Source organism: Homo sapiens, chromosome 16, assembly GCF_000001405.40.
Source record: "Homo sapiens chromosome 16, GRCh38.p14 Primary Assembly".
Classification (NCBI taxonomy): Eukaryota; Metazoa; Chordata; class Mammalia; order Primates; family Hominidae; genus Homo; species Homo sapiens.
In genome coordinates this window covers 71,497,476-71,512,126 of record NC_000016.10, presented here as the reverse complement: position 1 = coordinate 71,512,126, position 14,651 = coordinate 71,497,476, and the positions used below count along the sequence as shown (strand labels likewise).

General features: G+C 41.5%; 1 annotated feature.

Annotated features, from left to right (window-relative positions):
- Nucleotides 12,095-12,254: a silencer, noted in NCBI's record as "silent region_7679". NCBI's record gives its function as "represses an Ori minimal core promoter by ATAC-STARR-seq in GM12878 lymphoblastoid cells {active_cell/tissue: GM12878}" and the evidence as "EXISTENCE:reporter gene assay evidence [ECO:0000049][PMID:35858748]".

Below are 14,651 nucleotides of genomic sequence, written 5' to 3'. Positions count from 1 at the left end.
ATGTATTTCTTAAATGTATTTGATTGATGTCTCATGCCTCCCTAAAATATATAAAACCAAGCCGTGCCCCGATCAGCTTGGGCACATGTTCTCAGGACCTCCTGAGGGCTGTGTCATGGGCCATGGTCACTCATATTTGGCTCAGAATAAATCTCTTCAAATATTTTACAGAGTTTTGACTCTTTGTGTTGACAATGCTTAATTCTCAAAATACCATGAGAAGGAAACAGGAAACTAGATATTGATTCCAATTTCAGATTAGCACAGTAAGACATTAAGGAAAGTTCTCCAAGTTTCAAAGCAAGTCAGTAACAGTTGAGACCACTGTTATCTGCCTTTTTCCAGTCTTTTGAGGAAATATTCTCAAAGCAAGGGGTCAGCAGTCAGTGGTCTTCAAATTGGGAAGAGTAAAGTGGACAGTTCTAGGGGACTCCAGTTTTAGATCCTCAGCTTCATGTGTGGTCTTCTGGGAATGGCCCTGGTTGCTTGCGCAGATGCTCCTTTCCCAAGCGCCTCCTATAATCTGTTCTTCTCTTGCTTTGCAAAAGGAGTGCATACCCTTAATCTGCCCTGAATTGCCCCTGGGAGGCAAAACCTCTGGGGCACCAAACAAAGGGACACTTTCAAATATGGACTTCTGAAAAGGCTCTTTTAATAATCAAAGGGGAAAGGGGGAGAAAACTTGCCTACCGTTTACCTTCCGTTGTCTTGAACATTTTCCTATTGGGAGGAATTGGCCTGCAAATGGATATTCTGAATTGAATATTGTGGAGTAGGAATAGTGGAATAGAAGTTATTTCACCTCTTCTGAGAGAGGTTCCAAGATGGCTGAATAGGAACAGCTCCAGTCTACAGCTCCCAGCATGAGCGATGCAGAAGATAGGTGATTTCTGCTTTTCCAACTGAGGTACCCGGTTCATCTCACTGGGGCTTGTCAGACAGTGGGTGCAGCCCACAGAATGTGAGCTGAAGCAGGGCGGGGCATCACTTCACCCGGGAAGCGCAAGGGGTCGGGAAATTCCCTTTCCTAGCCAAGGGAAGCCATGACAGACGGTACCTGGAAAATCGGGACACTCCCACCCTAATACTGTGCTTTTCCAATGGTATTAGCAAATGGCACACCAGGAGATTATATCCCACACCTGGCTCAGAGGGTCCCACGCCCATGGAGCCTCGCTCATTTCTAGCACAGCAGTCTGAGATTGAACTGCAAGGCGGCAGCAAGGCTCGGGGAGGGGCGTACACCATTGCTGAGGCTTGAGTAGGTAAACAAAGTGGCTGGGAAGCTTGAACTGCGGGGAGCCCACTGCAGCTCAAGGAGGCCTGCATGTCTCTGTAGACTCCACCTCTGAGGGCAGGGCATAGCTGAACAAAAGGCAGCAGAAACTTCTGCAGACTTAAATGTCCATGTCTGACAGCTTTGAAGAGAGTAGTGGTTCTCCCAGAATGGAGTTTGAGATCTGAGAACGGACAGACTGCCTCCTCAAGTGGGTCCCTGACCCCTGAGTAGCCTAACTGGGAGACACCTCCTAGTAGGGGCTGACTGACACCTCATACAGCTGGGTGCCCCTCTGAGATGAAGCTTCCAGAGGAAGGATCAGGCAGCAACATTGGCCTTTCTGCAGTAATTGCTGTTCTGCAGCCTATGCTGGTGATACCCAGGCAAACAGGGTCTGGAGTGGACCCCCAGCAAACTCCAACAGACCTGCAGCTGAGGGTCCTGACTGTAAGAAGGAAAACTAACAAACAGAAAGGACATCCATGCCAAAACCCCATCTGTACATCCCCATCATCAAAGACCAAAGGTAGATAAAACCACAAAGATGGGGAAAAACCAGAGCAGAAAAGCTGAAAATTCTAAAAATCAGAGCGCCTCTTCTCCTCCAAAGGAACACAGCTCCTGGCCAGCAACAGAACAAAGCTGGACGGAGAATGACTTTGACGAGTTGAGAGAAGGCTTCAGTAATAACAAACTTCTCCGAGCTAAAGGAGGATGTTCGAACCCATTGCAAAGAAGCTAAAAACTTTGAAAAAAGATTAGATGAATGGCTAAGTAGAATAAACAGCATAGAGAAGACCTTAAATGACCTGATGGAGCTGAAAACCATGGCATGAGAACTACGTGACACATGCACAAGCTTCAGTAGCCAATTCGATCAAGTGGAAGAAAGGGTATCAGTGATTGAAGATCAAATGAATGAAATGAAGCGAGAAGAGAAGTTTAGAGAAAAAAGAGTAAAAAGAAACAAACAAATCCTCCAAGAAATATGGGACTATGTGAAAACACCAAATCTACTTTTGATTGGTGTACCTGAAAGTGATGGGGAGAATGGAACCAAGTTGGAAAACACTCTTCAGGATATTATCCAGGAGAACTTCCCCAACCTAGCAAGATAGGCCAACATTCAAATTCAGGAAATACAGAGTACACCACAAAGATACTCCTCGAGAAGAGCAACTCCAAGACACGTAATTTTCAGATTCAGCAAAGTTGAAATGAAGGAAAAAATATTAAGGGCAGCCAGATAGAAAGGTCGGGTTACCCACAAAGGGAAGCCCATCAGACTAACAGTGGATCTCTCAGCAGAAACTCTACAAGCCAGAAGAGAGTGGGGGACAGTATTCAACATTCTTAAAGAAAAGCATTTTCAACCCAGAATTTCATATCCAGCCAAACTAAGCTTCATAAGTGAAGGAGAAAAGGAGAAATAAAATCCTTTACAGACAAGCAAATGCTGAGAGATTTTGTCACCACCAGGCCTACCTTACAAGAGCTCCTGAAGGAAGCACTAAACATGGAAAGGAACACCCGGTACCAGCCACTGCAAAAACATGCTAAATTGTAAAGACCATCGATGCTAGGAAGAAACTGCATCAACTAATGAGCAAGATAACCAGCTAACATCATAATGACAGGATCAAATTCACACATAACAATATTAACCTTAGATGTAAATGGGCTAAATGCTCCAATTAAAAGACACAGACTGGCAAATTGGATAGAGTCAAGACCTATCACTATGCTGTATTCAGGAGACCCATCTCACGTGCAGAGACACACATAGGCTCAAAATAAAGGGATGGAGGAAGATCTACCAAGCAAATGGAAAACAAAAAAAGGCAGGGGTTGCAATCCTAGTCTCTGATAAAACAGACTTTAAACCAACAAAGATCAAAGGAGACAAAGAAGGCCATTACATAATGGTAAAGGGATCAATTCAACAAGAAGAGCTAACTATCCTAAATATATATCCACCCAATACAGGAGCACCCAGATTCATAAAGCAAGTCCTTAGAGACCTACAAGAGACTTAGACCCCCACACAATAATAATGGGAGGCTTTAACACCCCACTGTCAATATAAGACAGATCCATGAGCCAGAAAGTTAACAAGGATATCCAGGAATTGAACTCAGCTCTGCACCAAGCAGACCTAATAGACATCTACAGAACTCTCCACCCCAAATCAACAGAATATACATTCTTCTCAGCACCACATCGCACTTATTCCAAAATTGACCACATAGTTGGAAGTAAAGCAGTTCTCAGCAAATGTAAAAGAACAGAAATTATAACAAACTGTCTCTCAGACCACAGTGCAATCAAACTAGAGCTCCAGTCTGGGCAACGAGACTGAAACTCCATCTCAAAAAAAAAAAAAAAATTCGGAGAGAAATTAACTCTGATTATTTTATTGGTTTGAAAATGAGGATCAGAGTGTCCAATTAGGTTATATGGTGGGTATTTTTCATAGGTGAAATGAAATAGATTTCCAAGGCTTTTTAACAAGAATGTATTTAAAACATAGGATGAGATAAAAATATTTTTATTGAAAAAATATTAAATTGGTGATGGTGGTTTGATATAAATATTTTGATTTTCCAGTAGTTTTTGAGTATTATCAACAAGTTAAACAAGGTGTATCTTAAGTGAAAGAATAATAGCAGGCTGATGCACTGTGATCCTAGTGCTTTGGGAGACTGAGGTGGGAAGACTGCTTGAGGCTAGGAGTTCAAGGTGAGCATGGACAACATAGTAAGACCCCATCTCTACAAAAATAAAAATAAGACAATTTAATGGGGCATGGTGGTGCATGCCTGTAGTCCTAGCTACTTGGGAGGCTGAGGCAGGAGAATCACTTGAGCTCAGGAGTTCAAGGCTACAGTGAGCTATGATTGTGCCACTGCACTGCACTCCAGCCTGGGTGATACACAAGACCTTGTCTCAAAAAAAAAAAAAAGAAAGAATAACCAGTATAATTAATTATAATTACCTGCCTCAAAATTAATAATTAATAAGTCTAATTAATAAAGTAAGTCTCAAAATCAATAACTAATTAATATAATAATGATAATTTCTGAAGTTGAGTATACTAGTTTCTAAAAATTAAGAGAGTGGTGACTCTGACAACTAGGGAACAAATTCTTCTGCAGGTTTCCATTTACTGGCTTTCATTAAAATTGAAGAGGAACTCCATTTCATAATGATGGATCCAGGTTGTGTCATTGATAGCTGCTAAAACCATTAGATGGAAAGATAATAACACTGAACCCACTGCACATACCATCTGTGAAGGATTCTTGCCAAAGTATAAAATCTGAATCTGACCAAGTCTTGAGATCTAAAGATCAATTTTCAGGAAATTCAGAGGCCAGAAGAGCATGTTAAACAGTAAGCCAAGGAGATGCAAAGAGACTTAAGAGAAATATCAGCCAAATGCAATTTGTGGGCCTCGTTAGGATCTTGAGTTAAAAAACCAACACTAAAAAAGAAAAGAAAAGAAAGAGAAGAAAAACCAACACTAAAATCTAAACCAAACCAAAACAAAAATATGTGTGAGACAATTAGGGGAAATTTGCACATTAGATGGATATTGAATGACTTGCATTTCTTAGGTGTACTGGTTTATAAGTTATGTTTTCAAAACATCCTTATTTTTAAGAGAGATATATATAGAAGTATTTACAGGTGAAGTAAAAGTGTGTAACCTGGGATTTGCTTCAAAACAGTCCAGCAGTGATGAAGTGGTGTGAGGTGGAGAGGAGATGGGAAAGGTAGAGATGAAACAAGATTGGCCATGGGTTGATGATAACATTGTTGATGCTGGTGATGGGCACATAGGGATTCTTTTTATTCTTCTATATTTGTGTAGACTTGAGCTTGTCAGTATAAAAAATTAAAGAATAAGTAAAAACAAACCTAAAAAACAAATTAATGCATTGAAAGAATACCTAACCTAGCCATGAGCTGATAGATCACTAAAGATAAATTTTTGAGGAGGGGTGTGGTGGCTCAGGCCTGTAATCCCAGTGCTTTGGCAGGTGGAGGTGGGAGAGTCACTTGAGGCTAGGAGTTGGAGACCAGCCTGGGTAAGACCCCTGTTTCTACAAAAAAACCTTTTTAAATTAGCCGGGCGTGGTGGTATGTGCCTGTAGTCCCAGCTACTTGGGAGTCTGAGATGGGAGAATCGCTTGAGCCCAGGAGTTTGAGGTTACAGTGAGCACCAGTGCATTCTAGCCTGGGTGACAGCAGGAGAGACTCTGTCTTAAAAAAAGAGATTTTTTTTTAATGATTAACAACTGTGTGATTTGGGGCATAAAACTCAAAAGGATTGAGTGACTGACACTGATATCTCAAAACTCTCCATTTCTATCTTCTTGTTTGTGTAAACAGTGCTTATATTTCTAGAAACAAAATTTAAAAATAGAGTTTATGCTGAACTCTCATTCTAGTGTAATATTTATCCACAAATGTGTGAATAAACAGAAAAAAGCCCCACCCAATCTATTAAAACATCTGTATTTTTAACAAATTTTTTATTTTTGTGTTTAATAATTATTTATGTTATTTATCAAAACTTGTAATATTTATGTTGTTTTGATCAGTTATATACTAATAGCAATAATAATAACCAATCCAGAATAAGTTTCCACTATTTGAAGACTTTGGTGTCAGTAGAGTTTTTTAAAGTTTCTAATTTAAATTATATACATATTTTATATATGATAAGATAATTGGGAGAAAACTTTCAAACCTAAAAAATTATACAAGTTTGAAAGTTTGTGGAGAAGTGTAATGGAAACATAATTTCAAGGAGGAAAAGGAATGACAAGTTAAAACGACTGTTAAAGAAAAGATTGTTCATATATTTTTTAAAATAGGCGATCAAGTCTGAAATTAATAGTGCATTAAGATTGTACGGCTATATTTAAAAGATTGATGTAACAGTTTTATTTTAAATTACATCCTTTGCAACTATTTACACTTATGTTTGAAAATATTAAATATTAGCTAAAAACATATTAGGGGATCTGGGTTTATTTTCTTTTATGGATTTTTTTAATTGAGTAAAATTCACATAACATAAAATTAACCATTAACTATTTCAAAGTTTACAATTTGTGACATTAGTACATTCACAACTTTGTACAACCACGATCTCTTATTTCTGAGACATTTTCATCACCTCAAAAGGAAACTCTGTACCCATGAAACAGTTACTCTCCATTCTGCCACACCCCCCACCACCCCCCAACTGCTTGTTTGTTTTCTGTCTTTATAGATTTATTTGTTCTGAACATTTTGTATAAGTGAAATCATGCAGCACGTGGCCCTTTCTGTCTGGGTTCTTTCGCTTAGCATAATGTTTTCAAGGTTCATTGCATTGTAGCATGTTTCAGTACTTTGTTCCTTCTTATGGCTGAATAATATTCAATTGTATGAATACACCACATTGTATTTATTCATCAGTTGATGGACATTTGGGCTGTTTCCATCTTTTCACTATTGAGACTGGTGCTGCTGCAACAAACATTCCTCTACAAGGTGTTTGTTTGAATACCTGTTTTCAGTTCTTTTCGGTACACAGTATTCCGCCTTTCTGCTATTTCAGTTATCCTTGGTTATCCATGGCCCAAAAATATTAAACAGAAAATTCCAGAAGTAAACAATTCCTGGGTTTTCAATTGCATGTCATTCTGAGTAGTGTGATGCAACCTCTCCCTGTCCCGCTCTGTCCTGCCTGGTACGTGAGTCACACCTTTGTTCAGCATTTCCACACTGTCGATGCTACCCACCTGTCAGTCACCTGGTAGCTGTTTTAGATATCAGATCAACTGTTATCACATTGCAGAGCTTGTATTCAAGTAACCCTTATTTAATGGCCCCAAAATGCAAGAGTAGTGATACTGGCATATTATTATTATTGTTCTATTTTATCATTGTTGTTAATCTCTTACTGTGCCTAATTTATAAATTAAACCTTATTGTAGGTATGTATGTATAGGAAAAAAACATGGTGTACATAGGATTTGGTACGATGCACGATTTCAGGTATTCACTGTGGGTCTTGGAACCTATCCCCTGAGGATAAGGGGGAACTACTATGTACCTAGCAGTGGAATTGCTGGTAATTTTATGCTTAACGTTTTGAGGAACCACCAAACTTTCCCACAGTGACTGCACTATTTTACGTTTCCACCAGTGATGCACAAGGTTTCCAATTTCCCCACATTCTCCACAACTCTTGTTATTTTCCATTTTAATTATGGCTGATCTAGTGGGTGTGAAATAGTATCTCTTTTTTTTTTTTTCTTTGAGACAGAGTCTCGCTCTGTCACCAGGCTGGAGTGCAGTGGTATGATCTTGACTCACTGCAACCTCCACTCCCTGGTTCAAGCAATTCCCTTGCCTCAGCCTCCTGAGTAGCTGGGATTATAGGTGCTGCCACCACGCCCAGCTATTTTTTTTTTTTTTGTATTTTTAGTAAAGATGGGGTTTCATCATGTTGGCCAGACTGGTCTTGAACTCCTGACTTCAGGGAAGCCACCCGCCTTGGCCTCCCAAAGTGCTGGGATTACAGGAGTGAGTCACCGCGCCCAGCCTCGTTTTGGTTTTGATTTGCATTTCCCTGATGACTAACGACATTGAGCATCTTTTCATGTGTTTGATGGCCATGACTACCTAAACTAATTTTTTAATGAAACTGTTTTAATGGGTATGAAAGCAAAAAAAGGTTGCAGACCATGGCTTGTAAGTGAGAACATGCGGCATTTGGTTTTCTGTCCCTGTGTTAATCTGCTTAGGATAATGGCCTCCAGCTCTATCCATGTTGCTGCAAAAGACATGATCTCATTCCTTTTTATGGCTGTGTAGTATTCCATGGCATAGATGAACCACATTTTCTTTATTCTGTACGATGAAGTTTGAATGCCAAAGTGAGTCCCTTGCACACAGTGAGTGTTTCCCATGCTAGTTTGTTGGTTTGTCATGACAACCAGAAGGGACCTTCTATCCTCGCAGACATTCTTTAGTGGGAGTGCACCAGGAAAGACACGTCTGTGTCAGGCTGGAGGAAAGTGAAGGAACCAGGAAGCGTGTGGGCAAATGGATTTGTGGATGGCCAAAGAGCTGTGAAAGTAAGAAGAGAGAGTCTCCAGACTCTAGGAAAGCGGAGAACACCGTGAGTGGCAATCTCCACAGGTGCATTGTTAGATCATTGGACAGCATCCTACTCCTATATCCGTACGTGCTCCCTAACACGGAATCTGGCGCATAGTAGGTACACCAGGTGGCTGCTGAATCAAGTTGGTCACTGTTGATCTCTGTCCCATAGTAGGTACACCAGATGGCTGCTGAATCAGGTTGGTCACTGTTGATCTCTGTCCCATGATGGCTCTGTCGAGTCCCTCTTGTCTCCTTGATGGAATTAAGAGGTAGACATCTTGGGTGCTGCTCCTGCTCTGCCCTCATCCCTGCCCATCTCAGTCTGACATTCTCCATGGTTCCCCATGACCTCCTACCAGCATGTCCCTTGGATCACTAGTTTTAGTGCTAAATATCCCCGATGCTCTTGATCATTATTTCTAGAAATTCTCTTCTTCCTTGTCATTTCTATTATGTTTGTGCTACCTGTAGGCATGGCTGTGTTTGGGGTCCTAGAATCACACCCAGTCCTCTGTGGTAAAGAAGAAATTGTGAGACTATGGCATTTTTTTTTTTTTTTCGCTGATAGACCCTTACCCCAGATGTTTTGTAGGTTTATCTGGGGTTATTCACTGCCTCTAAGGCTCCTCTGCAGACAGTATAAGCCTGCTTGATAATGTTTTGAGAGCCAGGTGGGAGAATGGAGCTGGGGCAGTGGCAACGCCTTGTGATGTTTGTTCAGCATGCACACTTTTAATCATCTCCTTGTTTTAAATCCACTGTCTCCATCTGGCCCTCTGCTGGTGTTTTCCCCAGAGAATAAAGCTCCTATATTGCAAAGTTTGGGAGGAGAGGTCTTTGGGCTTTGCAGGTGGGAATGAGATCGGTGGGTCCAATTGATCCTTATACGTCTGTCACATGGCTCGCCTCTGCCTTGTGAAGTCTCTGATGCCCGATCCCTGAGCCTTTCCACTGGGTGAATCAGCTTGCTTCCTGGTATCACCGAAACACTGTGAACATCTCTCATCTGCGTTTGTCTCCTTTCTCACTCTCTTGTCCTTGTGAATCTGCAGCCTTTTTGTCCTTTCAGTGTCATGTTATGGGGCTCAGGAAATGCCAATGTTCATTCCACTTACATCTAATATGCAACTATTCTTTAAAATCAAGTCCATGCAATGTAATATTCTGCAGCTGTTAGAGGAATAACATATATCTACATATCTGGGCATGCTAAGTGGGTAATATAGAGTGTTAAGTGAAAAAAGCAAGTTGTAGGTTGGCTTGTAAAATACGACACTATTTGCATTACAAATTTTAAATATTATCTATAAATACGCATGTATACATATAGTGTGTATATATACATATATAGAGAGTAACATATATTATCCTAGCATTATCTGAGATAATATAAATAAATGTCAAAGTACATATGGAGAGCTAGTGGAATATTTTCACGTAGGCAAAATATTTAAATATTTCATGTAGCCTGGACTGGGCCAGGCACGGTGGCTCATGCCTGTAATCCCAGCACTTTAGGAGGCTGAGGTGGGAGGATCACTTAAGGCCAGGAGTTCAAGACTAGTCTGGGAAATATGGTGAAACCCTGGGTCTACAGAAAAATTAAAAAATTAGCCAGGCATGGTGGCATGCACTTGTAGTCCCAGCTACTCGCAAGGCTGAGGCAGGAGGACTGCTTTAGCCCAGCAGGTCAAGGCTGCAGTGAGCGGTGATGGTGCCACCACTCTCCAGCCTGGTCAATAGAGTGAGACACCCTCTCTTTCTATGTATATATGGGACTGATTTAAAAGGCTAGGCATTCTGGTGAATGTAAAATTAACTTTGAGGGCCATGAAGCCTGGGAGCATCGTTCACATTGTGTTCTATGTGACTGGTTCCCCCTAGAGTTTCACAACTGCAGTGGCCCTTCCTGGGAGGTCCCTAGTGGGAGAAGCTGTCATTCTGTGAAACATTAGGGAGTGCTCATTTGCAAAGGAGTTGCTTCTCCCACATGTAATTCCTAGTGACCCGTACCCCAGGACATGTGTGTTTGACAGTGGTTAATGATCCTCTTGAGCTATGCCGGGGAGGCCAACTCACAAGGTGAATAATAACAGCTAGACTTCTATTTACAGAGATACCCATTCTAGCATGTTGTGGGAAACCTAGGCTTTCTCACAAAAGCAACTAGCTCTTCCTCCTTCCAACCACCCTCACCTCCCAAACAAACAACTCCCAAATCAAACAAGAAGAAATGGAAAATTTTCAGTTCAAGCTCAATGGCAAGGGGTTGAGAGGAATTTAGCCATATGATTGAATGTTCTCTAGGAACATGTCTCTAGCAGTGGTTCTCAAGCTTTACTGCCTAGAATAATCACCTGGGGAGGTTTCAAAAATCCCACACCCAGGCTGAATGCATATGGATATTTGTATCTTTGGACAGGGTTTCTCCACCTTGGCTCTATAGACATTTGGGACGAGATAATTCTTTGCTGTAGGAGCTGTCCTGTGCATTGTGGGTTGTTTAACTGCACCCTTGGGCTCTACCCACTAGATGCCAGTAGCACACTTACCTAGTTGTACTGACCAAAAGACATATCCATGTATTTCTAGTAGTGGGGCAAACCACCTAGTTGAGAATCACTGTTTTGCGGGGTGGGTCCTAGGCACTATGTTTTTTTAAAAAACTTCCTAGGTGATCCCAATGTGCAGCCAAGTTTGAGAACCAGTGCTCTGATGGATTTTCCCTTGGAAAGCGTAGCCTGGTGGTAAGTCCCAGAAATTTTGGAGTACATTTTTATAAACTGTGATATAATATTGATTCAGTAAGAATGGATATATTCTGAGCCAGATGAGTGGACCCACTCATCCTGTCTAGTAGACATCTGTTTCTCTCCATCAAGGGGAGTTTGGAAAACAAACAGGCTGTGAACACCTTGATGAGCCAGATGAAGGGTGTCATGAGCCAGATGAGCTTATAGTAGACAGAGAACCTTTACAGCGAACAAGGTATGCAAATAATGAAAGCTCTAAGCAACATTAGAAAACCACAGGGCGTACGTTATTGGTGCTAAGATAATGTCTATCATTGACTGGAGGTCCTCTGTGGATCAAGGTCTTGTGCTAGAGGATCTATTTACATGTCATCACATAAGAAGGCATCTAAGTTAATAATAATAGTAGTAATAATAATAAATAGGGCGGATGTAAAGAACACGCATGTCGATACTTCTGAAACATGCTTTAACCTTAACTGTTGTATATAAGCACTTATGTAATTTGAGTGCTTCTCTGTCTCACTGTGGCAGGAATTGTAGATGGGCTCACGCAAACCCCCCCTTTCCATCTTCTTCCTACTATGGAAGCAAGAAAGTAAAAAAACTTGCCTTACAGATTCCTCTGCTGTTAGGAGCAGCCATGTGACATAATTTTGGCCATTAAGAATGTAAGCTCTATGAGGACAAGGGTTTTTTTAATTTTTCTATTTTGTTCTCTGCTGGTCAAAAACTCATCATATTGTACACTCTAAACATCTCTGGTCTATTGTACATTAATTTTAAACCCAATAATGTATAAAATTAAAGAGCAATTGTTAAGAAAATCCAAAGGCAAATTACAAATTGGAAGGAAACATTTTCTTGGCCCTGAAGGAAGTTGAGGTGAGGATCCTGAGGCACTGAGACCCTGTGCTTAAATTTCTGGTAAATCGCAGAGCTAGCTGAAATTTATCCCGCTGACACTAGATGTCACCATTGTGCCAAGTAAATGTAGCTGCTGTTCAGAGTGCAGTTCAATATTCAGGACAGAGTCAGGCTCTTCAAATGGTTGGAGATTGTTAATTTTTCTTCCCTCTTGATGCCAGAATATGGTCTGGTTCAAAAATGACGACAGTAATAATGATGGAGGAGAGCAAAGATCACCTGGTGGCCATCAGGCAGACCATCTGGAGGCAAAACTCCCTGTCTGAGGAATTAGAAAGTAATTAGACTTGCCTATTATCTAAAGCTGGCATCTGGTACCAGACTTCTTCCCCCTAAATTTATAAGTAACTAGGAGTTCTATACATCTCCGAAATCCATGCACGTTGAAACTCATTGTGCATCCCTTGCTGACATCAAGGCACTAAAATGTCTACAAATGTGATCATTTTTCATGACCTACATTGCTAATGTGGTCCACATTACCCTTAAGCTCCTGCTTTAAGGTCCATAAATACCCCTAAGGAAAATCCACCAGCACGCTCAGTCCTCTCTTGCTGAAGTGCCTCACTGCCCTCTCCTGCAGTGTTCTTTCTATCTAATAAAACTTTCCTTTTCAAACCTATACTGTAAATTCTTTTTTACCACCTGCAAGCCAGCCACTTGCCATTGCTGGGGCTCTGATACCTCGCCTGGCAGGGATCAGAGAAGTTTGTACGAGGAGCAACAAATAAGATAATTCTACCCAGTATGAGACCACATTTACATTATTAAAGCTAATAAATATGCAAAAAAGTTTCAATCTATGTTGGAAAAGACCCAAAATTAAATATTTGAAATGAAGTAGGCCGGGCGCAGTGGCTCACACCTGTAATCCCAGCACTTTGGGAGGCCGAGGTGGGTGGATCACGAGATCAGGAGTTCGAGACCAGCTTGACCAACATGGTGAAACCCTGTCTCTACTAAAAATACAAAAATTAGCTGGGCATGGTGGTGGGCGCCTGTAGTCCCAGCTACTCGGGAGGTTGACACAGGTGAATCGCTTGAACCCAGGAGGCAGAGGTTGCAGTAAGCCGAGATCACACCACTGCACTCCAGCCTGGGTGACAGAGTGAGTCTCCATCTCAAAAAAAAAAAAAAGATGAAGTAGGGCATAACATTGCAAATCACTAACTAGATGAAAACTTTGGGTGTGCTCGGGGAGAAGAGGGAAGAGAAAGACCTCAGGAATGAACAAAGAAGCTCAAGGGAAGAGTAGCTCAGAACACCATCAATGACAAGCAAGTAAAATAAGAAAAAGCATGAGGACAGTTAATTACTACTTCAAGGTAACAGGCTTGGGAGGGAGAAGCAGATTAAAATGGCATGTTGAAATTCTGAATGAAGTTGCTAAGACACTTGAACAAAAACACAGTAAATTCACAGAATTGCAGAACTTTTGTGTGCGGAGTGAAAAGAGGGGAAGAGAACAGTGCTGGCACACTGCGTTGGGCTGTTCTCACCTTGCTATAAAGAAATAGCTGAGACTGGGTAATTTATACAGAAAAGAGGTTTAATTGGCTCATGGTTCTGCAGGCTGTACAGGAAGCATGATGCTGGCATCTGCTCAGCTTCTGGGGAGGCCTCAGGAAACTTACAATTATGGCCAAAGTTGAAGGGGAAGCAGTCACATCACATGGCAGGAGCAGGACCAAGAGAGAGAGCGGGGAGGAGCCACATCCTTTTAAACAACCAGATCTCAGGAAGACTCACTCACTATCGCAAGGACAGCACCAAGGGCATAGTGCTAAATCATTCATGAGAACTCCGCCCCTATGATCCAGTCACCTCCCACCAGGCCCCACCTCCACCACTGGGGATTACATTTCAACATGAGATTTGGGCAGGGACACATATCCAAACTATACCAAACACCATCTTTAGAAAACAAGGCACTAGAGCCCAAACTCCACACATGCTAACTCTCCATGGACTGCCAGTATCTTCAAGGAGCCACTCACTCTCTCGCTTGCAGGTCTAGCATCCAAATCTGCACAAGAGGGATCTTCCACAAGATGGGAGCATGAAAAAGAAATGTAGAAGATAAACAACAAGAACGTATAAAAATAAAAGCTAATATGCTTAGCTCAGAACAAAGAACTAAAAACCAAGGTGGCACTTTGGTCTGAAACTTCTATTTTTATTCTTTTTGGAGATGGAGTCTTGCTCTGTTACCCAGACACTGTACCCAGGGGTACAGTGGCACGATCTTGCCTCACTGCAGCATTCATCTCTTGGGTTCAAGTGACTCTCCTGCCTCAGCTTCCTGAGAAGCTGGGACTACAGGTGCACACCACGATGTCCAGCTAATTTTTATATTTTTTATTAGAGATGGAGTTTCACCATGTTGGCCAGATTAGCCTTGAACTCCTGACCTTAAGTGATCCACCTGCCTCCGCCTCCCAGAGTGCTGGGATTACAGGCATGAGCCACCACGCCCAGCCAGTCTGAAACTTGTAGGACAAAGATATGTAATAAAATCTCTGCAA